Here is a 23,565-nt window from a genome sequence, read left to right as displayed (position 1 = left end):
GTCCCGGGTGTGGTGATACATTATGCTGGCAGTCCAGGCCAAAGTGGGAGGACCTCCTGAGCCCAAGAGTTTGAAACCAGCCTGGGCAACGTAGCAAAACTCCTATCACTAAAAAAATAAATAATTTTTTAAAATCAAAACTGATTTGTATATTTTAAGAGCAACATGTGCACAATAGAAGATTCTAACAGGCCCGTGGGACTGTGCCATTTCTACAAGCTGATGAGTTTGTCTGACCCAAAGACATGAGACTCCTGGGTGAGAGCCACAGGAATTAATTGCTCACACCAAGCAACAGCAGCGTGATGTTTGCATCAGTTCCCCTTACCCCAAGTCCCACGGGGGCAACATGGAAGGGCCCAGACTGACACCATGCACACAGTGGGCCTGCACCGCAGCCATAGAGCTCTGAGCTTGAGAGATTCCCCTCCTCTAGGGGCCCTGGTAAGCCCAGGTTCCCACAGGGAGACGTGTCTTCATCCCTCGGGTGTGCTCACTGCAAACACAGCACTGAAAAATGGCTTGAGTACAAAGTATTCAGAGGCTGAGCGTGGTGGTTCACGCCTGTAATCCCAGGACTTTGGGAGGCTAAGGCAGGCTGATCACTTGAGGTCAGGAGTTCGAGACCAGCCTGGCCAACATGCTCTCTTTTCTGCGCACAGTGGCTCAGAAAGGTAACGGGGTGCCCATTCTGCAGGGGGGATGAGGGACACAGGAGCAAAGGAGTATAGACTAGAGGGCTGCAGAATCAGGCCCTACAGACTTCCTGTCCTACCACCACCATCTTCCAGCTGCATGACCTTGAACAAGCACATAACTTCTCCAATGCCCTAGGACCGCCACCTTCTTCATGAAGTGACTGCAAGAATTAAATGAGATAATGTTAAGTGCACAGAAAAGCAGCTACCAGCACGGGACTCTGGGTTCCTGTCCTACCTCTTGCACTTGGGCAAGTGCCTTAATCTCCTTATCCCTCTGTTGCTTTGTATAAATGGCGATAATTATGGTAATACCACATAGTTTGTTTTGATGATTAAGAGTTAATACATATAAACGGCTGGGCACGGTGGCCCATGCCTGTAAGCCCAGCACTTTGGAAGGCCGAGGCAGGCAGATCACCTGAGGTCAGGAGTTCGAGACCAGCTTGGCCAACATGGTGAAACCCCGTCTCTACTAAAAACACAAAAAATTAGCTGGGCATGGTGGCGGGCGCCTACAATCCCAGCTACTCGGGAGGCTGAGGCACGAGAATCGCTTCAACCCAGGAGGTGGAGGTTGCAGTGAGCAGAGATTGTGCCACTGCACTCCAGCCTGGGCAACAGAGTGAGACTCCAACTCAAAAAAAAAAAAAAAAAACTGCTCAGGACCTGGCATTCTTGATACACCCAATATATCAGACAAAAAGGCTCCATACCCATCACCTCCAGACAAACATTCCTGACAGTGTCTGTGTTTACACAAGCATGTATTCATCCATTTTAGTGTTTTGCACTTTTCCTTTGTTACTGAACAATGCTTTGGGAACACACACACATATATAACAGTTGCATAATATTCCATGGCATACACTATAATTTTTTTTTTTTTTGAGACGGAGTCTTGCTCTGTCACCCAGGCTGGAGCGTAGTGTCTCGATCTCAGCTCACTGCAACCTCCACCTCCCAGGTTCAAGCGATTCTCCTGTCTCAGCCTCACAAGTAGCTGGGACTACAGGCACATGCCACTATGCCCAGCTAATTTCTGTATTTTTAATAGAGACAGGGTTTCACCGCGTTAGCCAGGATGGTCTTGATCTCCTGATCTTGTGATCTGCCAGCCTCAGCATCCCAAAGTGCCGGGATTACATGAGTGAGCCACCGCGCCCGGCCAGAAATACACTATATTTTATTTATTTATTTATTTTTAATTAATTTATTTTTTTGAGATGGAGTCTCACAGTGTCGCCCAGGCTGGAGTGCAGTGGCGCGATTTCTGCTCACTGCAAGCTCCGCCTCCCGGGTTCAAGCCATTCTCCTGCCTCAGCCTCCCGAGTAGCTGGGACTACAGGCGCCCGCCACGAAGCCCGGCTAACTTTTTTGTATTTTTAGTAGAGACAGGGTTTCACCGTGGTCTCGATCTCCTGACCTCATGATCCACCTGCCTCGGCCTCCCAAAGTGCTGGGATTACAGGCGTGAGCCACCGCGCCCGGCAGAAATACACTATATTTTAAATATTCCCTACGGATGAACATTAGATTGTTTTCCAACATTTCATTATTACTAACTGCTGCAGTAAATACCCTAGTTTATTTCACTATAATTATTATGTATTTCTGTTTTAACAAGCCAGAAAAAAGAAGAAAAGAAAGAGGTAGAGTGAAAGAGGAGAGAAGGAGGGAAGGAAGGAAGGACGGATGGAAGGAAGGAAGGAAGGAAGGGAGGGAGGGGAAAGAAAAGAAACCAGGCTCACGCAGTGGTTCACTCCTGTAATCCCAGTGCTTTGAGTCTGGGACTGTACCCTACCTCCTGCCTCCAGAGGCGGGAGGATCACTTGAGGCCAGGAGTTCAAGGCTTGCCTGGCCACATAGTGAGACCCTCATCTCTACCAAAAAAGAAAAAGAAAAGAACCCATTCCACTGTCAGACATCTAGGAGGCTATTTCAATCTTCTGCTATTGCAAATAGAAGAGCAAGAATAATTGGCTGCAAAGTAATTGGAACTTACTTTTTTTTTTTTTTGAGACAATCTAGCTCTCTTGCCCAGGCTGGAGTGCAGTGGCATGATCTTGGCTCACTGCAACCTCTGCCTCCTGGGTTCAAGCAATTCTCCTGCCTCAACCTCCCGAGTAGCTACCACACCTAGCTAATATTTTGCTATGTTGCCTAGCTGGTCTCGAACCCTTGGACTCAAGCAATCCACCCACCTTGGCCTCCCAAAGTGCTGGGATTACAGGAGTGAGTCACTGCACCCAGCCTACAGTTTTTTAACTGTAGAAAATAGAAATGTTGTAAGAATGTACAAGATTCTCAACCTTTAAAAAAACACTAAGGCAAAATTCATTTTTGACAAAGTTATCATTTCAACCAAATTGTTACTGCTGTCGGCAAAGCTGTCTGTTCCCCAAGCCAGATGTTGGGCCCCAACTCAGGAGAGCTGCGAGGATGTGGATGGGTCCAAACTCCAGCCTGGTGCACTCAAGAAATGGGGTCTGACCAAGACAGACTATAGGCTCGGGGTGGAGGGAAAGATAATGAAAATATGAACAAGAGGTGATTGTTGCCTGCAAATCATCACAGAAGAGCAATACTTAGGCTGGGCGTGGTGACTCACTCCTGTAATCCCAGCACTTCGGGAGCCCGAGACAGGAGGATTGCTTGAGCCCAGGAGTTGAAGACCAACCTGGGCAACAGACAGAGAACCCCATCTCTATTTAATTGTTTTAATTAAAAGAAAAAAAGAGGCTGGGCGCAGTGGCTCATGCCTGTAATCCCAGCACTTTGGGAGGCCGAGACGGGAGGATCACCTGAGGTCAGGAGTTCGAGACCAGCCTGACCAACATGGTGAAACTCCGTTTCTACTAAAAATTACCAAAAAATTAGCCAGGTGTGGTGATGGGCGCCGGTAGTCCCAGCTACTCGGGAGGCTGAGGCAGGAGAATCGCTTGAACCTGGGAGGCAGAGGTTGCAATGAGCTGAGATCATGCCACTGCACTCCAGCCTCGGCAAAAGAGTGAGAATTTGTCTTGGAAAAAAAAAAAAAAGAAAAGAAAATGAGTTCATACTGATTCTGAAAATATTAGAGACAAAGAGAAGGAGGGAGGGAGCAGGGAAGGGAGGTAGGACAGTATGGAAGTTTTTTTTGTTTTTGTTTTATTTTTTCTGAGATGTAGTCTTGCTCTGTCGCTCAGGCTGGAGTGCAGTGATGCAATCTCGGCTCACTGCAACCTCCGCCTCTTAGTTTCAAGCAACTCTCCTCCCTCAGCCTCCCAGGTAGCTAGGATTACAGGTGCGCACCACCACGTTTGGCTAATTTTTGCATTATTAGTAGAGATGTGGTTTCACCATGTTGGCCAGGCTGATCTCGAACTCCTGACCTCGTGATTCACCTGCCTCGGCCTCCCAAAGTGCTGGGATTACAGGCATGAGCCACTGTGCCCGGCCACTGGAAAGTTATTTTACTGTAGGAAAGCTAACAATTGTAAAAGGAATGTAGAATTTAAAAAATGATAAACATAACCAATATAATAATAATGGATTCAGGTAAGAGTGAGTGTTAAAACCATTGGTGAAATCAGAAGAGTGTGTGTGTATAGGATATTTACATAGTTGGCTGGGCATGGTCACCCTGGCTGGAGTGCAGTGATGTGATCTCGGCTCACTGCAACCTCCGCCTCCTGGGTTCAAGCAATTCTCCTGCCTCAGCCTCCTGAATAGCTGGGATTACAGGTCCCTGCCACCATGCCCAGCTAATTTTTGTATTTTTATTAGGGATGGGGTTTCGCCATGTTAGCCAGGCTGGTCTCGTACTCCTAATCTCAGGTGATCCACCCACCTCAGCCTCCCAAAGTGCTGGAATTACAGGCATGAGCCACCGTGCCCAGCAGTATTCCTTTTTTTTTAGAGATGGGTTCTTGCTGTGTTGCCCAGACTGGTCTTGAACTCCTGGGCTCAAGCAATCCTCTCATCTTCGCCTCCAGAAGTCCTGGGATTACAGGCATGAGCCACTGTGCTTGGCTTCTGTGGTGTTCCCAAAAAAAATGTATAACCTGCCCTGGGCACAGTGGCTCACTCCTGTAATCCCAGGACTTTGGGAGACTCAGGAGAAGGGATCGCTTGAGTTCAGGAGTTCAAGGCTGCAGTGAGCTATGATTTCGCCACTGTACTCCACCCTGGGTAACACAGTGATACCTTGTCTGTAAAAAAAAAAAAAAAAAAAAAAAAAAAAAAGAGAGAGAGAGAGAGAGAAAGATCCAGAATCTGATCCCTCTTCGCCCCGTCACTGCTGCCTACTGGCCTGAGCCTCTGTCTTCTCTGGCCTGGACTGGTGCAGTCATCTCAGCTCTGGTCTCCCTGTGTGAGATCTCATCCTCCTCCGGGCTGTTTTCCACACAGCAGCCAGAGGGACCCAGATGAAACATCTGACCCCACCCCTCCTCTGCTTGGAGCCCTGAGACCACTCCCACCCCACTCAGGGTAGAAGCCAAGTTGGCCACATCCGATCTGACCCCTGCCTACCTCTCTTATCCACGTTGCTTCTGCCCTTCCACCCATGGCCCTGCCATCCACGCCCTTGCCACCCGGACCTCTGATGTGTCCCTGGAGAAAGCAAGCCCAGGGCCTTTGCGCCATCTGTGGTGGCTGCCCCAGGGCTCCCCACCCAGATGTTGCTTGGCTGCTTTCTCAGTCTTTGCTCAAATGTCACCTTCTCAGGATGGCTTTGCCTGGCCAACCTATTTACTTACTTATTTGTTTGTTTTAGACACAGGGTCTCACTCTGTCACCCAGGCTTGAGTGCATTGGCACAATCATGGCTCACTGCAGCCTCGACCTCCTGGGCTCAAGAGATCCTCCCGCCTTGGCCTCCCAAGTAGCTGGGACTACAGGCACATGCCACCACACCAGTCTAACTTTTAATTTTAATTTTTTATTTTTTGAGATGGAGTCTCGCTCTGTCTCCCAGGCTGGAGTGCAGTGGCACAATCTTGGTTCACTGCAACTCCGCCTCCCGAGTTCCAGCAATTCTCCCGCCTCAGTCTCCCGAGTAGCTGGGATTACAGGTGCGCGCCACCATGCCCGGCTAATTTTTTGTATTTTTATTTTTATTTTTGAGATGGAGTTTCACACTCTCGTTGCCCAGGCTGGAGCACAATGGTTCGATCTCGGCTCACGGCAACCTCCGCCTCCTGGATTTAAGCTATTCTCCTGCCTCAGCCTCCTGAGTAGCTGGGAATACAGGTGCCCACCACCAAGCCCATCTAATTTTCTATTTTTAGTAGAGACAGGGTTTCACCATGTTGGCCAGACTGGTCTTGAACTCCTGACCTCAGGTGATCCACCTGCCTCGGCCTCCCAAAGTGCTGGGATTACAAGCGTGAGCCACCACGCCCAGCAATTTTTTTGTATTTTTAGTAGAGACAGTGTTTCACCATGTTGGCCAGGCTGGTCTCGGACTCCTGAGCTCAAGTGATCTGCCCTCCTCGGCCTCCCAAAGTGCTGGGATTACAGGTATGAGCCACCATGCCCGGCCTAATTTTTAAATTTTTCATACAGATGGGATCTTGCTTTGTTGCCCAGGCTTGTTTCAAACTCCTAGACTCAAGTGAGCCTCCCACCTCGGTCTCCCAAAGTGCTGGAATTACAGGTGTGTGCCACGGAGCCCAGCTGGCCATTGTATTTAAAATCTCACCCCCGGGTGGGCGCGGTGGCTCATGCCTGTAATCCCAGCACTTTGGGAGGCTGAGGCAGGTGGATCACAAGGTCAGGAGATCAAGACCATCCTGGCTAACACGGTGAAACCCTGTCTATACTAAAAATACAAAAAATTAGCCGGACATGGTGGCGGGTGCCTGCAGTCCCAGCTACTCAGGAGGCTGAGGCAGAAGAATGGCGTGAACCCAGGCGGCGGAGTTTGCAAGATCACGCCACTGCACTCCAGCCTGGGTGACAGAGCAAGACTCCGTCTGGAAAAAAAAAAAAAATCGCACCCCCCTCCCTCTGGACTGTAACCCCCCTCCTTGCTTTCTCCCCATAGCACTTCGCGCCTTCAAATGCGCCATGTAATGGACTTTCTTATTTTGCTTCCGTCGCTCTCCCCACACTGGAATGCCAGCCCCATGGCCTCACAGCTGTGCGTGTGTGCTTGCACAGTGCCCCAGCACCCAGGAAGTGCTTGACACACAGTAGGCATTGGATGACGTTTATTGACTGAAGACTTCTCTGGTTGAGACAAGGAAGAGGGTATCAGGCTGCAGAACTGTGGACAAAGGCAAGGAGGCCAAAGGGTGGAGGGCAGAGAGGGGAGTGATGAGGCCAGGGACGGGAGGCTGGGTGTGCCTGGAGCTGTTGTGAAGGCCTGCCCATCCTGCCCTGAGGTCATCAGAGGTCACCAGAGGTTTGCCTGCTTCTCCTGAGATAATAGCTCTGCCCTCCCCAGGCCCCAGTTCCTCCTTCCCTCTACAGGTTTTTTTTTTTTTTGAGATGGAGTCTCGCTCTGTCGTCCAGGCTGGAGTGCAGTGGCTCGATCTTGGCTCACTGCAACCTCCGCCTCTGGGGTTCTCAAGCGTTCCTCCTGCCTCAGCCTTCTGAGTAGCTGGGATCATAGGTGCCCACCACTACACCCGGCTAATTTCTGTATTTTTAGTAGAGACAGGGTTTCATGATACGCCCACCTCAGCCTCCCAAAGTGCTGAGATTATAGGCGTGCGCCACCGTGCCCGGCTCCCTGCAGGTCTTTGAGGGGCCGCTCCTACACCAAGGTAGACAGGGGCTGGCAGAAGCCTGGAGGCAGGGAAGCCACAGAAGGGGAGGGGTACCTGAGCTTGACTCCTGCCTGCATCGCCTGCCGTCTGGATGGCCTTGGGTCAGGCATTTAATCTGCCTCAGTTTCTTCATTTGCAAAATAGGAATAATAATAGTATTCTTCAAAGTTCCTGGGAAGGATAAGTTAGACAGGTGAGGGGCCCACAGTCAAAGCCTGATAAGGACTAGCTGGTGTTATAAGAGAGAGACACTGGTGCGGTGGCTCACTCCTGTAATCCCAGCATTTTGGGAGGCCGAGGTGGGTGGATCACCTGAGGTCAGGAGTTCGAGACCAGCCTGGCCAACATGGTGAAACGTCGTTTCTACTAAAAAAAATAAATAAATAAAAAACAAACTAAAACTAGCTGGGTATTGTGGCACGCGCCTGTAATCCCAGCTACTTAGGAGACCGAGGCAGGAGAATTGCTTGAACCCAGGAGGTGGTGGTTGCAGTGAGCCAAGATCATGCCACTGCATTCCAGCCTGGGCAACAGAGCGAGACTCTGTTTCAAAAAAAAAAAAAAAAAAAAAAAAAAGCCAGGTGCAGTGGCATACGCCTGTGGGTCCCAGCTAACTCAGGAGGCTGAGGTAGGAGGATCACTTGAGCCTGGGAGTTCGAGGCTGCAGTGAGCCATGATTGTGCCACTGCACAATCTGAGCAACAGGCACAATCACAAGCCTGGGCAACAGATCGAGACCCTGTCCCACAAAAACTAATTAACTAATTAAATGCCTAAATCACCTCTGCACAAATCAGAATGGAGCTCAGCTCTTTCTCCTACCACGAGTAGTTACTGAATAAAATCTGTTTTCACCACAGTAACTCATGTCTGGCTATGTTTTCCTTTGACACTTAATTACCCTTCTGATCCTCCAGGGCCACAGGACTGGGGCTTGCTTGGGACCAGGGGCCCTTTCTTCCCATCCACAGCGCTGTCAATGAAAAGGACTGACAAGTCACGCCACCCTTGTCCTCTGGGGAATTTCCGTCTAGTCAGAAAAGAGAAGTTTACATACTTATTTATTCACTGAAAAGCACCAGGCCGGGCACGGTGGCCCATGCCTGTAATCCCAGCGCCCAGCGCCTTGGGAGGCCAAGGTGGAAGGATCGCTTGAGCCCAGGAGGCAGAGGTTGCAGTGAGCCGAGATCGCAACATGCATTCCAGCCTGGGCGACAGAGCAAGACCTTGTCTCAAAAAAAAAAAAAAAAAAAAAAAAAGAGAAAAAGAAAAGTGCTGTTTCCTAAGCTAATGCATGTTATAAGCACAGAAGTGTTTGTCATGAACAATAAGTCTTCCCTTTCCCCAACAAGTCATGATCTCAGAAAGAGAACACTTCTAATGCTTTTAACTTTTTCTAGTCTCAATTCTACTGGTGGGTCCACATTCCCAAAAAGTGTGCTAATTTCGTTATTCCTTTTTTTTTTCTATTACTACATGGAGATGCTATAACTTTATTTCTTCATGTATCCATTTTGCCTGGCATAATCATAGGTGTCTGACCCACTGGCCCTGCTCCAGCCCCATTCCACCTTGCAGGTCAGTTAAATCCCTCTCTTCAGGTCCTTTGTAACGAACTAAAGTTGCTTTTGTAACTTTATTTACGTAGTTATGTATGAGTTTTATTATTGTTGTTGTTTTGTTTTGAGACAGGGTCTCACTCTTTCGCCCAGGCTAGAGTGCAGTGGCCTGATCTCAGCTTACTGCAACCTTGGGCTCCAGTGATCCTCCCACCTCAGCCTCCAAGTAGCTGGAACTACAGGTGTGTGCCACCGCACCTGGTTACTTTTTTTTTTTTGAGACGGAGTCTCGCTCTGTCACCCAGGCTGGAGTGCAGTGGCGCGATCTCGGCTCACTGCAAGCTCCGCCTCCCAGGTTCACGCCATTCTCCTGCCTCAGCCTCCCGAGTAGCTGGGACTACAAGCACCCGCCACCATGCCCGGCTAATTTTTTGTATTTTTAGTAGAGACAGGGTTTCACCGTGTTCGCCAGGATGGTCTCGATCTCCTGACCTTGTGATCCACCCTGCCTTGGCCTCCCAAAGTGCTGGGATTATAGGCGTGAGCCACCGCGCCCGGCATGCACCTGGTTACTTTTTATATTTATTGTAGAGACATTGTTTCGCTGTTGCCCAGGCTGAGATCAATTTCCTGGGCTCAAGCAATCCGTCCACCTTAGCCTCTCAAAGTGCTGGGATTATAGGCATGAGCCACCTCACCTGACCTATTTACTTATTTTTAAAGAGATGAGCACCCTCGAACTCCTGGGCCCAAGCAATCCTACCTCAGCCTCCTGAGTAGCTGGGACTACAGGTGTGCACCATCATGCCCAGCTAATTTTTAATTTTTTTTGTAGAGACAGGGATCTCATTATGTTGCCCAGGCTGGTCTTGAATTCCTGGGCTCAAGCGATCCTCCTTGCCTCGGCCTCCAAAAGTACTGAGATTACAGGCATGAGCCACAGCTTCTGGCCTAAATTCTTATCACTTTGTGACATGAAGATAGTGGCTTTCCTTTATCTCTCTTCTGCTCATTTCTGTTACCTGTACATTTACTTTTATGTTGTTAAATGTAGATAATATTGGCATTCTCTCTTTCATCTTGCTTAGAGCTGCATTGCCTAATGTAGAAGCCACTGGCCACAGGAGACTACTTTAACTTAATTAAAATTTAATGAGATTTAAAACCTAGTTCCCTCAGTTGCAACTAGCTAGTTACATTTCAAGTGTGTTCAGAAACCACATGTGGCTAGTAGCTATCAAATCAAATAACACAGATAAAGGCTATTTCTATCACCTCAGATAGTCAAGATCAGTGCTGTCTGGTCCAGAGTTTGAGTCTAAAATGGAAAACTATTAATTTTCTTTGTTTTTAAGATTATGGGGCTGGATGTGGTGCCTCATGTCTGTAATCCCAGCACTTTGAGAGGCCAAGGCAGGAGGATCACTTGAGGTCAGGAGTTCAAGACCAGCTGGGGCAACATAGCAAGGTGCCATCTGTACAGAAAAAAAGAAAAAAAGTAGCCAGGCATGGTAGCACATGCCTGTACTTACAGCTACTCAGGAGGCTGAGACGGGACAATCACTTGAGCCCAGAAGTTCAAGACTGCAGTGAGCTATGATGATACCACTGCACTGCAGCCTGGGTGACAAAGGGAGACCATGTCTCTAAAAAAAAAAAAAAAAAAATGCCTAGCACGGTGGCTCACGTCTGTAATAACAGCACTTTGGGAGGCCGAGGCGGGTGGATCACCTGAGGTCAGGAGTTCGAGACCAGCCTGGCCAACATGGTGAAACCCCATCTCTACTAAAAATAAAAAAATTAGCTGGGCATGGTGGCGCGTGCCTGTAATCCCAGCTACTAGGGGGGCTGAGGCAGGAGGATCGCTTGAACCCAGGAGGCGGAGGTTGCAGTGAGCTGAGATCGTGCCATTGTACTCCAGCCTGGGCAACAGAGCAAGATGCCACCTCAGAAAAAAAAAAAAAGCATTATATAACTATTGTTCAGTTATATTATATAAATATATATATTTATATATATATATAAAATTTTAGCGATATTTACTACGATAATGTATCATAGTAAATTTACTACAATACATCTCTTTTAATTTTACCTAGAGTTTCTAATTGCTTCACTAATTCCTTGCTCCAGTGTGACCTTCCTTCTCCCCTCCCACTCCCTGTTGCTACACTGCTACATCTTGGGACCAGTGGTTATTTCTCTCTTGGGTGGGATCTCCTATTTCCTGTAGTCTGCACCCTTCTCTTTTGTGATTTACCCTCTTAATTTTGCAGGAGCACATTTTCAAGTCACATCCAAAGAAAGCTCCCTAATAAAAAGGTGAACTTTGCTTTTTTTTTTTGTCTCACTCTGTCACCTAGGCTGGGGTGCAGTGGGGCAATATCGGCTCACTGCAAACTCTGCCTCCCAGGTTCAAGCGATCCTCCTGCCTCAGCCTCCCTAGTAGGTGGGATTACAGGCAGGCGCCACCATGCCTGGCTAATTTTTGTATTTTTAGTAGAGACGGGGTCTCGCCATGTTGGCCAGGCTGGTCTCGAACTACTGACCTCAGGTGATCGTCACCCCTCAGCCTCCCAAAGTGCTGGGATTACAGGCGTGAGCCACCGTGCCCAAAGTAATCTTGCACCTAAATAGGTCTTTAGTTTATTCTCACACTTGATATGAAAGTCCAACCCTCAAGTTGGAAAGCTCTACTCTGGTACCAAAAGCCCCAGTCAGCCTCTTATTGGCTCACTCTGAAGTATGATGGGACTTGAAAGAAATATCAACCTTTTTTTTTTTTTTTTTTTTGAGACAGGGTTTTACTCTGTCACCCAGGCTGGAATACAGTGGTGAGACCACAGCTCACTACAGCCTCAACTCAACTTCCTGGGCTCAAGTAATCCTCCCAGCAAAACTGGGAGGTGCACACCGCTACGCCTGGCTAATTTTTGTAGAGACAGAGGTCTCCCTATATTGCCCAGGCTGGTCTGGAACTCCTGAGCGCAAGAGATTCCACCCACCTCGGCCTCCCAAACTGCTGGGATTACAGGCATGAGCCGTCACGCCTGGAAGAAATATCAACAACATTCAAAGAAACCCTGCAACATGAAAGGAAAGCACCAAGATAAACCAACCCCATCATCCATTCTGCCTCCTTCTTTCCTAAAAGTACCCCAGTTTGTTCAGGTGCCCACCAGCATACACATCCTGGGCACTGACCCCTTCCTTCTTCAGCTCCAGCAAAGTCTGACCAGTCTAAAGTAACCACTCCCCTTCTGCCCACGATTGCATTAGGAAAGGGTACATGCCCCAGTTCTAGCCACTAAGATAAAAGGAAGGGAGGCTTCTAAGAAAGGCTTCTTCCTTTTAATTAAAAGAGAACCCGGGGGCAGTAACTTCTGCCTCCCACAAGCCATGATTAAGGATACATCCTGTAACTCTGAGAGGAACTGGCCCCAGGATGGAAACATTGCAGGATTGCAGAGGAGGAATGGGAGGAAGAGCATGGGATCCCAAGGCATCGCAAATGCCTGATCAAGGGGCCCTGAATCCCAGCCACCCCCTTCTGTGAGCTTCCTGTAAGTCGGATGTTTAGTTATTTGTAGCCAAATGCATCCTAAGTACATTCAAAAAAATTTAAAAAAAAAAGAAAAAGAAAAGAAAAGTAATCCTGGAGGAAACAGAATTTACGTAAAGAAAAAGAGGCTGGGTGCGATCGCTCACGCCTGTAATCCCAGCACTTTGGGAGGCAGAGGCAGGTGGATCATGAGGTTAGGAGATGGAGTCCATTCTGGCTAACATGGTGAAACCCCATCTCTACTAAAAATACAAAAAAAATTAGCCGGGCGTGGTGGCGGGCGCCTGTAGTCCCAGCTACCAGGAGGCTGAGGCAGGAGAATGGCATGAACCCGAGAGGCGGAGCTTGCAGTGAGCTTGCAGTGAGATCGCGCCATTGCACTCCCGCCTGGGCGACAGAGCGAGATTCCGTCTTAAAAAAAAAAAGAAAAGAAAAGAAAAGAAAAGAAAAGAAAAAAAGAAAAAGAAAAAAAAAAATCTGGTATTTTTAAAGACATTTGAGAAAATGCTGCTTCAGGCCAGGCACGAGGCTCACCCCTGTAATCCCAGCACTTTGGGAGGCCAAAGCGGGAGGATCGCTTGAGACCAGGAGTTTGAAACCAGCCCTGGCAACATAGTGAGATCCTGTCTCTACAAAAAATTAAAAAATTAGCTGGGCGGGGCTGGGCACAGTAGCTCATGCCTGTAATCCCAGCACTTTGGGAGGCCGAGGCAGGTGGATCACCTGAGGTCAGGAGTTCGAGACCAGCCTGGCCAACATGGTGAAACCTCATCTCTACTAAAAACACAAAAATTATCCAGGTGTGGTGGCGGGTGCCTGTAATCCCAGCTACTCGAGGCTGAGGCAGGAGAATCGCTTAAACCCGGGAGGCAGAGGTTGCAGTGAGCCAAGATTGCGCCACTGCACTCCAGTCTGGGCGACAGAGTGAGACTCCATCTCAAAAAAAAAAAAAAAAAAAAAAAAAAAGAGCTGGGCGGGAGCCAGCTGGGCCCCAGCGAGTGCACGTTAGACCACGGCTCCAAGCTCTTCTTCCGGCGCCTCTGACCCGGGGGCCGCCTTTCCCCATCCCCACCGAAGTCCCTAATAAATGAAGGTGCTGCTTCCAAAAAAAAATTAGCTGGGCAGGGCGTGGTAGCACGTGCCTGTAATTTCAGCTGCTCTGGAGGCTGAGGTGGGAGGATCACTTGAGCCTGGGTATTTGAGGCTGCAGTGAGCTGTGCTCATGCCACTGCACTCTGGCCTGGGTGACAGAGCAAGACCCCATATTAAAAAAAAAAAAAAAGATGGGCCAGGCACGGTGGCTCACGCCTGTAATCCCAGCACTTTGGGAGGCAGAGGCAGGTGGATCATGAGATCAGAAGATCGAGTCCATTCTGGCTAACATGGTGAAACCCCGTCTCTACTAAAAATACAAAAAAATTAGCCAGGCGTGATGGCGGGCGCCTGTAGTCCCAGCTACTCGGGAGGCTGAGGCAGGAGAATGGCATGAACCCAGGAGGCGGAGCTTGCAGTGAGCCGAGATCGCGCCACTGCACTCCAGCCTGGGCGACAGAGCAAGACTCTTTCCCCAAAAAAAAAAAAAAAAAAAAAAAAAAGATATTGCTGGCCAGGTGCAGTGGCTCACACCTGTAATCCCAGCATTTTGGAGGCCGAGGTGGGCTGATCACCTGGGGTCAGGGGTTCGAACCAGCCTGGCCAACATGGTGAATCGCTGTCTCTACTAAAAATACAAAAATTAGCTGGGCACAGTGGCAGGTGCCTATAATCCCAGCTACTCGGGAGGCTGAGGCAGGAGAATCATTTGAGCCCGGGAGGCGGACGTTGCAGTTAAACCGAGATCCACTACTGCACTCCAGCTGGGCGACAGAGCAAGGCTCCATCTCAAAGAAAAAAAAAATTGCTACACTATGTTACAATAAAAACAGGGTGTTATAAAAAAGAAAGAGGCCAGGCACAGTGGCTCACGCCTGTAATCCCAGCACTTTGGGAGGCTGAGGCAGGTGGATCACCTAAGGACAGGAGTTCGAGACCAGCCTGACCAACAAGGTGAAACCCTGTCTCTACTAAAAATACAAAAAAAAATTTAGCCGGGTGTGGTGGCAGGCACCTGTAGTCCCAGCTATTCTGGGAGCTGAGGCAGGAGGATCGCTTGAACCCAGGAGGAGGAGGTTGCAGTGAGCCAAGATCACACCACTGCACTCCAGCCTGGGCGACAGAGTGAGACTCCATCTCAAATAAATAAATAAATAGAGCAAAGACTGAATTCTTAGAAATTAAAGCTATGATACTGAATTACTAAAAGCATTAGAATAAAGAAGCTGGGCACAGTAGCTCACTCCTGTAATTCCTGCAGTTTGGGAGGCCAAGGAGAATGGCTTGAGGCCAGAAGTTCAAGACCAGCCTGGGTAATATAGCAAGGCCTCATCTGTACAAACACAAACAGGAAGTGTTGTAATAAAAAGTTAATAAATTATCCCAGAAAACTGCCAGGTGTGGTGGATCATGCCTGTAATCCCAGCACTTTGGGAGACCAAGGCAGGCGGATCACCTGAGGTCAGGAGTTCGAGATCAGCCTGGCCAACGTAGCAAAACCCCATCTACTAAAAATACAAAAATTAGCCAGGTGTGGTGGCAGGCGTCTGTAATCCCAGCTACTTGGGAGGCTGAGGCAGGAAAATCGCTTGAACCCGGGAGGCGGAGGTTGCCATGAGCCAAGATTATGCCACTGCACTCCACCCTGGGTGACAGAGTGAGACTCTGTCTCAAGAATAAAAAATTTAAAAAATAAATAAAGCTGGGCGCGGTGGCTCACGCCTGTAATCCCAGCACTTTGGGAGGCCAAGGCAGGTGGATCACGAGGTCAGGAGTTTGAGACAGGAAGCTGAGGCAGGAGAATAGCTTGAACCCAGGAGGCAGAGGTTGCAGTGAGCCAAGATCGCTCCACTGCACTCCAGCCTGGGACAGAGTGAGACCCCATCTCAAAAATTGATTAATTAATTAATTATCCCAGAAAATAGAACTCCCAGAAGGTGTAGGGGTGGAGAAGAAAATATGAGAGAAAATATATGAGACTGCCGCTCTAACATAGAGATCCAATAAGTGGCGGCTTAAAGAAGAGACGTGTCGGCCGGGCGCAGTTGCTCACACCTGTAATCCCAGCACTTTGGGAGGCCAAGGTGGGTGGATCATGAGGTCAGTAGTGTGAGACCATCCTGGCCAACCCCGTCTCTACTAAAAATACAAAAATTAGCCAGGCATGGTGGCGCATGCCTGTAATCCCAGCTACTTGGGAGGCTGAAGCAGGAGAATCACTTGAACCCAGAAGGCAGAGGTTGCAGTGAGCCGAGATTGTGCCACAGCACTCCAGCCTGGGACAGAGTGAGACTCTATCTCAAAAAAAAAAAAGAAGAGACGTGTCTGCAAAAAACAAATAAATAAATAAACAAAAGAAGAGACATGTTCAAGTGAAATGGTGGTAGTTAGGGAGGCAGCTCTGCTTCTCTCATTGCTCAGGGACCAAGGGCCCTTCCTCATCACTTTTCTGCCATCGGTAGGGCACCGTTTGTCACCTGCACGTTTGAATCTGTTGTGGGGATCTCCAGCCAGCAGGAATGGAGAGTATGAAGCTGGCCTACTTCCTAAGGCCAAAGACCAGAAGTCACATACATCACCTCCTCACATTCTATTGGTGGAAACTTAGTCACATGACCATGCCTACTGCAAGGGAGGCTGGGACATGCAGTTCCACCATGTTCTTGGGGAAGAAGGGCTCATTGGATTTTGGATAATGAGTAGTCTTTGCCACAGAGACACAGCCAGGCAATCCAAGAGGCCCAAAAGCTAACCAATAGGAGTGCCAGGAAGAGAGAACCCAAGAAATGGAAGAAGGAGAATGATCAGAGATCATTCTCACTCTGATGAGAAACATGCGTCTTCAGGCTGAAAAGCCCACCTAGTGCCTGCCCAATGAAAGAAAACCCATGCCGGGCACACTGGAACCCCAAAAGTGTCATGTACGACTTAGCTATTTCCTAAGGAACAGGAAGCAGCTGGTGATTAGGTTAACATAAATGAAAGAAAGAAAAAAGTCCCAGGGTAAGAAAAAATTAATAGAATGAACACCACATTAGGCTCTGAACTTCCTGGGGCTGGCCCTGAAAGGGAAAATTTACATAAGTTCCTCCTTTTTGACTATAAGAACTAGTTCCTTAGAGAAGGTCAATATTTCGTGACACTCACTTCTAAAATTAATTTTCATATAAGAACATATCTTATGCCAGTTGATGTCATGGATATAATGGCTGATGGGCAACACACCACTCCTGAGAAAGGCTTGGGCACTGGAGTCAGACCAACCTGAAGGCAGCCACCACTCACTGTGTGCCCTTGGGAACATTTCTGAGTCTCAGTTTTCCTCACCTTTAAAATGGGCATAGTAAAAGGAAAAGAAGAGCCAGGCATGGTGGCACAGTAGTAGTCCAGTAATCCCAGCCAAGGAGGCCAAGGCAGGAGGAGTTTTGAGGCCATCCTGGGGACCATAGGGAGACCCTGTCTCTCTAGATTTAAAAAATATATTAAAAAGTAAAGAAAAATGGGCACAGAGTATTTATCTCACAACATTATTAATTTGTTCTTTAATTCCGCAAATATTTGTTGAACACCAACCATGTGTCCGGCATAGGATTGTGACAATTAATGAAATCAAGGGCCAGTCACCTGTCCTCTTGGAGGTAGCCTTCTCCGGAGTGAGACAGACTCTACATATGTAGGAAGCAGGCATCATGGAGAAACATCACGCAGGAAAGTGGGGGAAGGAAGTGCTCCTTTCTACAGGCTGATGTCTCTGAGAAGGGGACATCTGAGGGGAGACTTGAGGGAAGAGAGGGAGCAGCCATGAGATGTTCATGGGGAATCCCACGGACAAACAAAGCCAGTTCAAAGGCCCTAACCTGGGTCCTGCTTCGCGTGTTCTGGGAAGCCCAAGGAGGCCAGTATGGCTGGAGCAGAGTGCATGAAAAGCGAAGTCAAGAGGAAAGGGGGCCATAGGGCACGGCTTTAGGTCATTATTAGCACTTTCACTCTGAGTCAGTGTGGAGAGTTTAGAGAGCTTCAACTTTGTTTTGTTCTGTTTTCTAGAGACAGAGTTTTATTCTGTGGCCCAGACTGGAGTACACTGGTGCAATTATGGCTCACTGCGGCCTCCAACTTCTGGGCTGAAGCGACCCTCCCACCTTAGCCTCCTGAGTGGCTGGGACCACAGGTGTGTGCCATCATGCCCAGCTTTTTTTTTTTTTTTTTTTTTTTTTTTTGATACAGAGTCTTGCTCTGTCACCAGGCTGGAGGGTAGTGGCACGATCTTGGCTCACTGCAACCTCTGCCTCCCTGGTTCAAGCAATTCTCCTGCTTCAGCCTCCCAAGTAGCTGAGACTACAGGCACGTGCCACCATGCCCAGCTAATTTTTGTATTTTTAGTAGAGACGGGGTTTCACCATGTTGGCCAGGATTGTCTTGATCTCTTGACCTTGTGATCTGCCTGCCTCAGCCTCCCAAAGTGCTGGGATTACAGGCGTAAGCCACTGCGCCCTGCCGCTGATTTTTGTATTTTTTGTAGAGACAGGGTCTTGCTATGCTGCCCAGGTTGGTCTCAAACTCCTGGGCTCAAGTGATCACCAGGGTTTCTTGACAGATTGGATTTGGGGATGTGTGAGAGAGGATTGAGGACAACACCAAGGTTTTCGGCCACACCAACTGTAAGAATAGAATTGTTGTATTCTGATATGGGAAGGCTGCAGGAGGAGCAGGTATGGGGGAGAAGATAAAGAGTTCATTTTGGGCCCGGGCACGGTGGCTCACACTTGTAATCCTACCACTTTGGGAGGCAGAGGCAGGCAGATCGCTTGAGCTCAGGAGTTTGAAACCAGCTTGGCCAACAGGGTGAAACCCTGTCTGTACTAAAAATACAAAAAATTTGCCGGGTGTGGTGGCACGTGCCTGTAATCTCAGCTACTCGGGAGGCTGAGGCAGGAGAATCACTTGAACCTGGGAGGCGGAGTTTGCAGTGAGCCAAGATCAGGCCACTGCACTCCAGCCTGGGCAACAGAGCAAGATTCTGTCTCAAAAAAAAAAAGTTCATGTTGGGACATGTTAAGTTTGTGTTGCCTGTCAGACACCCAAGGGGAAGTTTCAAGTGAGCAGTTCTGAAGCTCACAGAAGAGGTCTGCAGTGAAGATGAAAACTTGGGGGACATCAACATTTGGATGATATTTAAAGCCAGGGGTCTGTGTGAGCTCAACTCAAGAGTGAGTGTCACCAGGCACCATGGCTCATGCCTGTAACCCTAACACTTTTGGAGGCCAAGGTGGGAGGATCACTTGAGCCCAGGAGTTTGAGACCAGCCTAGGCAACACGGTGAGACCCTATCTCTACTTAAAATTTTAAAAATTAGCCAGGCAGGGGGGCATGTGCCTGTGGTCCCAGCTACTTGGGAGGCTGAAGTGGGAGGATTGCTGTAACCCAGGAGTTTGAGTTTGGAGTGAGATAGGATTATGCCACTGCACTTCAACCTGGGTGACAGAACAAGATTCTATCTCAAAGTTAAAAAAAAAAAAAAAAAAAAGAGTGGCCAGGCGCCATGGCTCACGCCTGTAATCCCAGCACTTTGGGAGGCTGAGGCGGGCAGATCACGAGGTCGGGAGATCGAGACCATCCTGGCTAACACGGTGAAACCCCGTCTCTACTAAAAATACGAAAAATTAGCCAGGCGTGGTGGCGAGCGCCTGTAGTCCCAGCTACTCAGGAGGCTGAGGCAGGAGAATTGCATGAACCCAGGAGGCGGAGCTTGCAGTGAGCCAAGATCGTGCCACTGCACTCCAGTCTGGGCGACAGAGCGACACTCCGTCTCAAAAAAAAAACAACGAAAAACGAGTGAGTGTCAATTAGGAGAAGAGGACCAACACAGACATAAGAAGTGGGTGCCACTTCACTTACAGAGAGGGCAGTGACAGCTCAGAGATTCTGTGTCTTGCCCACGGTCACACAGCTGGTAAGGGGTAGGATCCGAATTCACAATGAGGTCCTAGTTCAGATCTTTTTGCACTCTATTAGAGTAATCCATACAGACTTCTGTTGATCTAAGTCGACCCGTGGCTATAACTGGAAATAGTTAAGGAGTGTTCACTCAGCCCTCAAGCCTTGAGAGAGAGTCTCGCCCTGTCACCAAGGCTGGAGTGCAGTGGTACGATCTCGGCTCACTGCAACCTCCGTCTCCCGGGTTCAAGCGATTCTCCTGCCTCAGCCTCCCAAGTAGCTGGAACTACAGGTGCCTGCCACCATGCCCAGGTAATTTTTGTATTTTTAGTAGACATGGGGTTTCACCACATTGGCCATGCTGATCTTGAACTCCTAACCTCAAGTGATCCGCCCGCCTCGTCCTCCCAAAGTGCTGGGATTACAGATGTGAGCCACTGTACCCAGCCAGCAGCTGGGCTTTTGAGAAGATTTGGAGAATCAAGAGTCCACAATTCTTGATTCTCAGTGTGGGCCTGGAGGTTGCATGGGTTTGCAATACATTGAGTCTGGGCAGATGTGTGCGCCTAGCAAAGCCAGAGGTGGTAGCAGCCATCACAGGTTTCCAAAGCTGGGGCCCTGGCCACCTAAGTATCAGCCAGTACAGACACAATATTAGATCTGCCCCAGCCCTTGAACAACTGATGGGGCACTCAGTATCACACCTCAATCGGCCTCCCTCCATTGGAGGACTGACTCCATTCCTCAATATCAAGATAAGTGTCACAGACTGTCCCTGTCCCAGCTCTAAATTAAAGGTAATGATGCTGCCCTCTCCAGGACAGTCATAAAGTTAAACAAGAAAATAGTGAAATTACGCACAGAGTTTACTATTTTTCTTTTCCTGTCTCAGCCTTTAAGAACTCAGTAAAGGCCAGGCGAGGTGGCTCATGCCTATAATCCCAGCACTTTGGGAGGCCAAGGTGAGCAGATCACCTGAGGTCAGGAGTTCGAGACCAGCCTTGCCAACTTGGCAAAATCCTGTCTCTACTAAAAATACAAAAATTAGCTGGACTTGGTGGCAGGCACCCGTAATCCCAGCTACTTGGGAGGCTGAGGCAGGAGAATCATTTGAACCCGGTAGGCGGAGGTTGCAGTGAGCCGAGATCATGCCACTGTACTCTCCAGCCTGGGTGACAGAGCGAGACTCGGTTAAAAAAAAAAAAAAAAAAGGAAAGAGGAAAGGAAGAGAGAGAGAAAGAGAAAGAAAGAAAAGGAAAGGAAAAGGAAAGAAGAAAAGAAAAAAGAAAGGAACAGAACAGAACTAAGCAAAGATCCCTCAGAAGGGACCTCCAGGGGTCCCCCCACCCTCGTATCTGTTCAGTTCTGTTTCCGTTCAGTTGGATGTGTCCCACCTAGGAAGTGGTTTCAGACAGGGTTCCTCAGAGCCCTGGGGTTCAGAGGTGATGTTTTGGGGTTTGTGGCTCTGGGCTGGTCATCATCTACCCTCACTCCCAGACCTATTCTCAGCCCTACCCTCTGCCCTGGAGGCTCCCCCACCCTCTGTTTTTTGTTTTGTTTTGTTTTGTTTTGAGATGGAGTCACGATCTGTTGCCCAGGCTGGAGTGCAGTGGCAGGATCTTGGCTCGCTGCAACCTCCGCCTCCCCGGTTCAAGCAATTCTTCTGTCTCAGCCTCTCAAATAGCTGGGATTACAGGTGCCCTCCACCACGCCCAACTAATTTTTTTGTATTTTTAAATAGAGACAGGGTTTTGCCATGTTGGCCAGGCTGGTCTCGAACTCCCGCCTGGACCTCCCAAAGTGCTGGGATTACAGGGGTGAGCCACCGCACCCGGCCTGGATTTCACTTGAGTTTAGCTAAAGGGAGGACTGGCTGGAGCTCCAAGGGGGAGGACAGTCAGGACATTTCTATTCTGCTCCCTTCCTGCTGTGCCTCACATCTCTGGCAGTGGCTTCATCTCCCCACCCACATCTGCAGCACCTGTCAGGTGGCCCCTTCTACATCCCCAGGTTTTAATGAGTTTCGGTAACACAGTTTCTGCCTGTTACCCCATCAGTCCTAGAAGCAGTAACAGGCTCCAATAGTTGCTAGTCTCTTAGGGCTTCAGCATTCCTTGTAGCCTCCTTTAACCATATCCATTTCTCCATAAGGAGTCCCTATATTAAAGCCTCCAGAACTGCGTGTTCCAATAGATAACAACTAGCCACATGTGGATACTTAAATTGGAGCCAGATGTGGTAGCTTACATCTGTAATCCCAGCTACTCAGGAGCTGAGGCAGGAAGATTTCCTTTTTTTTTGAGACAGAGTCTCGCTCTGTTGCCAGGATGGAGTGCAATGAAGCAATCTTGGCCCACTGCAACCTCTGACTCCCTGGTTCAAGCGATTTTCCTGCCTCAGCCTCCCGAGTAGCTGGGATTACAGGCACGTACCACCATGCCCAGCTAATTTTGGCATTTTTAGTAGAGACGGGGTTTCACCATGTTGGCCAGGATGGTCTCAATCTCCTGACCTCGTGATCCACCCGCCTTGGCCTCCCAAAGTGCTGGGATTACAGGCCTGAGCCACTGCGCTTGGCCTCTTTTTTTTTTTTTTTTTTTTTTTGAGATGGAGTCTCGCTCTTTCGCCAGGCTGGAGTGCAGTGGCGCGATCTCGGCTCACCACAGCCTCCAACTCCCCTGGTTCAAGCGATTCTCCTGCCTCAGCCTCCTGAGTAGCTGGGATTACAGGCACATGCCACCATGCCCAGCTAATTTTTGTATTTTTAGTAGAGACAGGGTTTCTTTTTTTTTTTTTTTTCCAGATGGAGTTTCACTCTTGTCACCCAGACTGGAGTGCAATGGCACAATCTCGGCTCACCGCAACCTCTGCCTCCCAGGTTCAAGCGATTCTCCTGCCTCAGCCTCCCAAGTAGCTGGGACTACAGGTGTGTGCCACCACGCCCGGCTAATTTTTGTATTTTTAGTAGAGACGGGGTTTCACCATCTTGGCCAGGCTGGTCTCGAACTCCTGACCTCATGATCCACCCGCCTCGGCCTCCCAAAGTGCTGGGATTACAGGCGTGAGCCACCGCACCCGGTGAGACAGGGTTTCACCATGTTGGCCAGGATGGTCTCGATCTCCTGACCTCGTGATATGCCCGCCCTGGCCTCCCAAAGTGCTGGGATTACAGGCGTGAGCCTCCATGCCTGGCCTTTTTTCTTTTTTTTTTTTTAAGAGTAAGAGTAGACTTTATTTTATTTTATTTATTTATTATTTATTATTATTATTTTTTGAGACAGAGTCTCACTCTGTTGCCCAGGGTGGAGTGCAGTGGCACGATCTTGGCTCAGTGCAACCTTCGCTTCCTATGTTCAAGCAATTCTCCTGCCTCAGCCTCCCAAGTAGCTGGGACTACAAGTGCATGCCACCACACCCAGCTAATTTTTTATTTTTAGTAGAGACGGGGTTTCATCATGTTGGCCAGGCTGATCTCGAACTCCTGACCTCAGGTGATCCGCCCACCTCGGCCTCCCAAAGTGCTGGGATTACAGGTGTCAGCCACTGCGCCCGGCCTTATTTATTTATTTTTGAGACGGGGTCTCACTCTGTTGCCCAGGCTGGAGAGTAGTGATGCAATCTTGGCTCACTGCAACCTCCACCTCCTAGGTTCAAGCAATTCTCCTGCCTCAGCCTCCTGAGTAGCTAGGATTACAGGCACGTGCCACCACATCTGGCTAATTTTTTGTATTTTTAGTAGAGATGGGGTTTTACCATGTTGGCCAGGCTGGTCTTGATGTCCTGACCTTGTGATCCACCCGCCTCAGCCTCCCAAAGTTCTGGGATTACAAGCGTGAGCCACGGCGCCTGGCCTCTTTCTTTTTTTCTCTCAAGACGGAGTCTTGCTCTGTCGCCCAGGCTGGAGTGCGGTGGTATGATCTCGGCTCTCTGCAAGTTCTGCCTCCCGGGTTCAAGCAATTCTC

General features: G+C 49.0%; 7 annotated features.

Moving 5' to 3' along the window:
- Positions 139-188: an enhancer, noted in NCBI's record as "active region_10663". NCBI's record gives its function as "activates an Ori minimal core promoter by ATAC-STARR-seq in GM12878 lymphoblastoid cells {active_cell/tissue: GM12878}" and the evidence as "EXISTENCE:reporter gene assay evidence [ECO:0000049][PMID:35858748]".
- Positions 8,328-8,457: an enhancer, noted in NCBI's record as "active region_10662". NCBI's record gives its function as "activates an Ori minimal core promoter by ATAC-STARR-seq in GM12878 lymphoblastoid cells {active_cell/tissue: GM12878}" and the evidence as "EXISTENCE:reporter gene assay evidence [ECO:0000049][PMID:35858748]".
- Positions 8,468-8,517: an enhancer, noted in NCBI's record as "active region_10661". NCBI's record gives its function as "activates an Ori minimal core promoter by ATAC-STARR-seq in GM12878 lymphoblastoid cells {active_cell/tissue: GM12878}" and the evidence as "EXISTENCE:reporter gene assay evidence [ECO:0000049][PMID:35858748]".
- Positions 16,108-16,402: an enhancer, noted in NCBI's record as "tiled region #12377; HepG2 Activating DNase unmatched - State 5:Enh, and K562 Activating DNase matched - State 5:Enh". NCBI's record gives its function as "activates a minimal TATA promoter and a strong SV40 promoter by Sharpr-MPRA in HepG2 and K562 cells {active_cell/tissue: HepG2 | K562}" and the evidence as "EXISTENCE:reporter gene assay evidence [ECO:0000049][PMID:27701403]".
- Positions 17,300-17,569: an enhancer, noted in NCBI's record as "active region_10660". NCBI's record gives its function as "activates an Ori minimal core promoter by ATAC-STARR-seq in GM12878 lymphoblastoid cells {active_cell/tissue: GM12878}" and the evidence as "EXISTENCE:reporter gene assay evidence [ECO:0000049][PMID:35858748]".
- Positions 18,526-18,585: an enhancer, noted in NCBI's record as "active region_10659". NCBI's record gives its function as "activates an Ori minimal core promoter by ATAC-STARR-seq in GM12878 lymphoblastoid cells {active_cell/tissue: GM12878}" and the evidence as "EXISTENCE:reporter gene assay evidence [ECO:0000049][PMID:35858748]".
- Positions 18,706-18,825: an enhancer, noted in NCBI's record as "active region_10658". NCBI's record gives its function as "activates an Ori minimal core promoter by ATAC-STARR-seq in GM12878 lymphoblastoid cells {active_cell/tissue: GM12878}" and the evidence as "EXISTENCE:reporter gene assay evidence [ECO:0000049][PMID:35858748]".

Source organism: Homo sapiens, chromosome 16, assembly GCF_000001405.40.
Source record: "Homo sapiens chromosome 16, GRCh38.p14 Primary Assembly".
Classification (NCBI taxonomy): Eukaryota; Metazoa; Chordata; class Mammalia; order Primates; family Hominidae; genus Homo; species Homo sapiens.
This window is presented reverse-complemented; position numbering and strand designations above follow the sequence as displayed.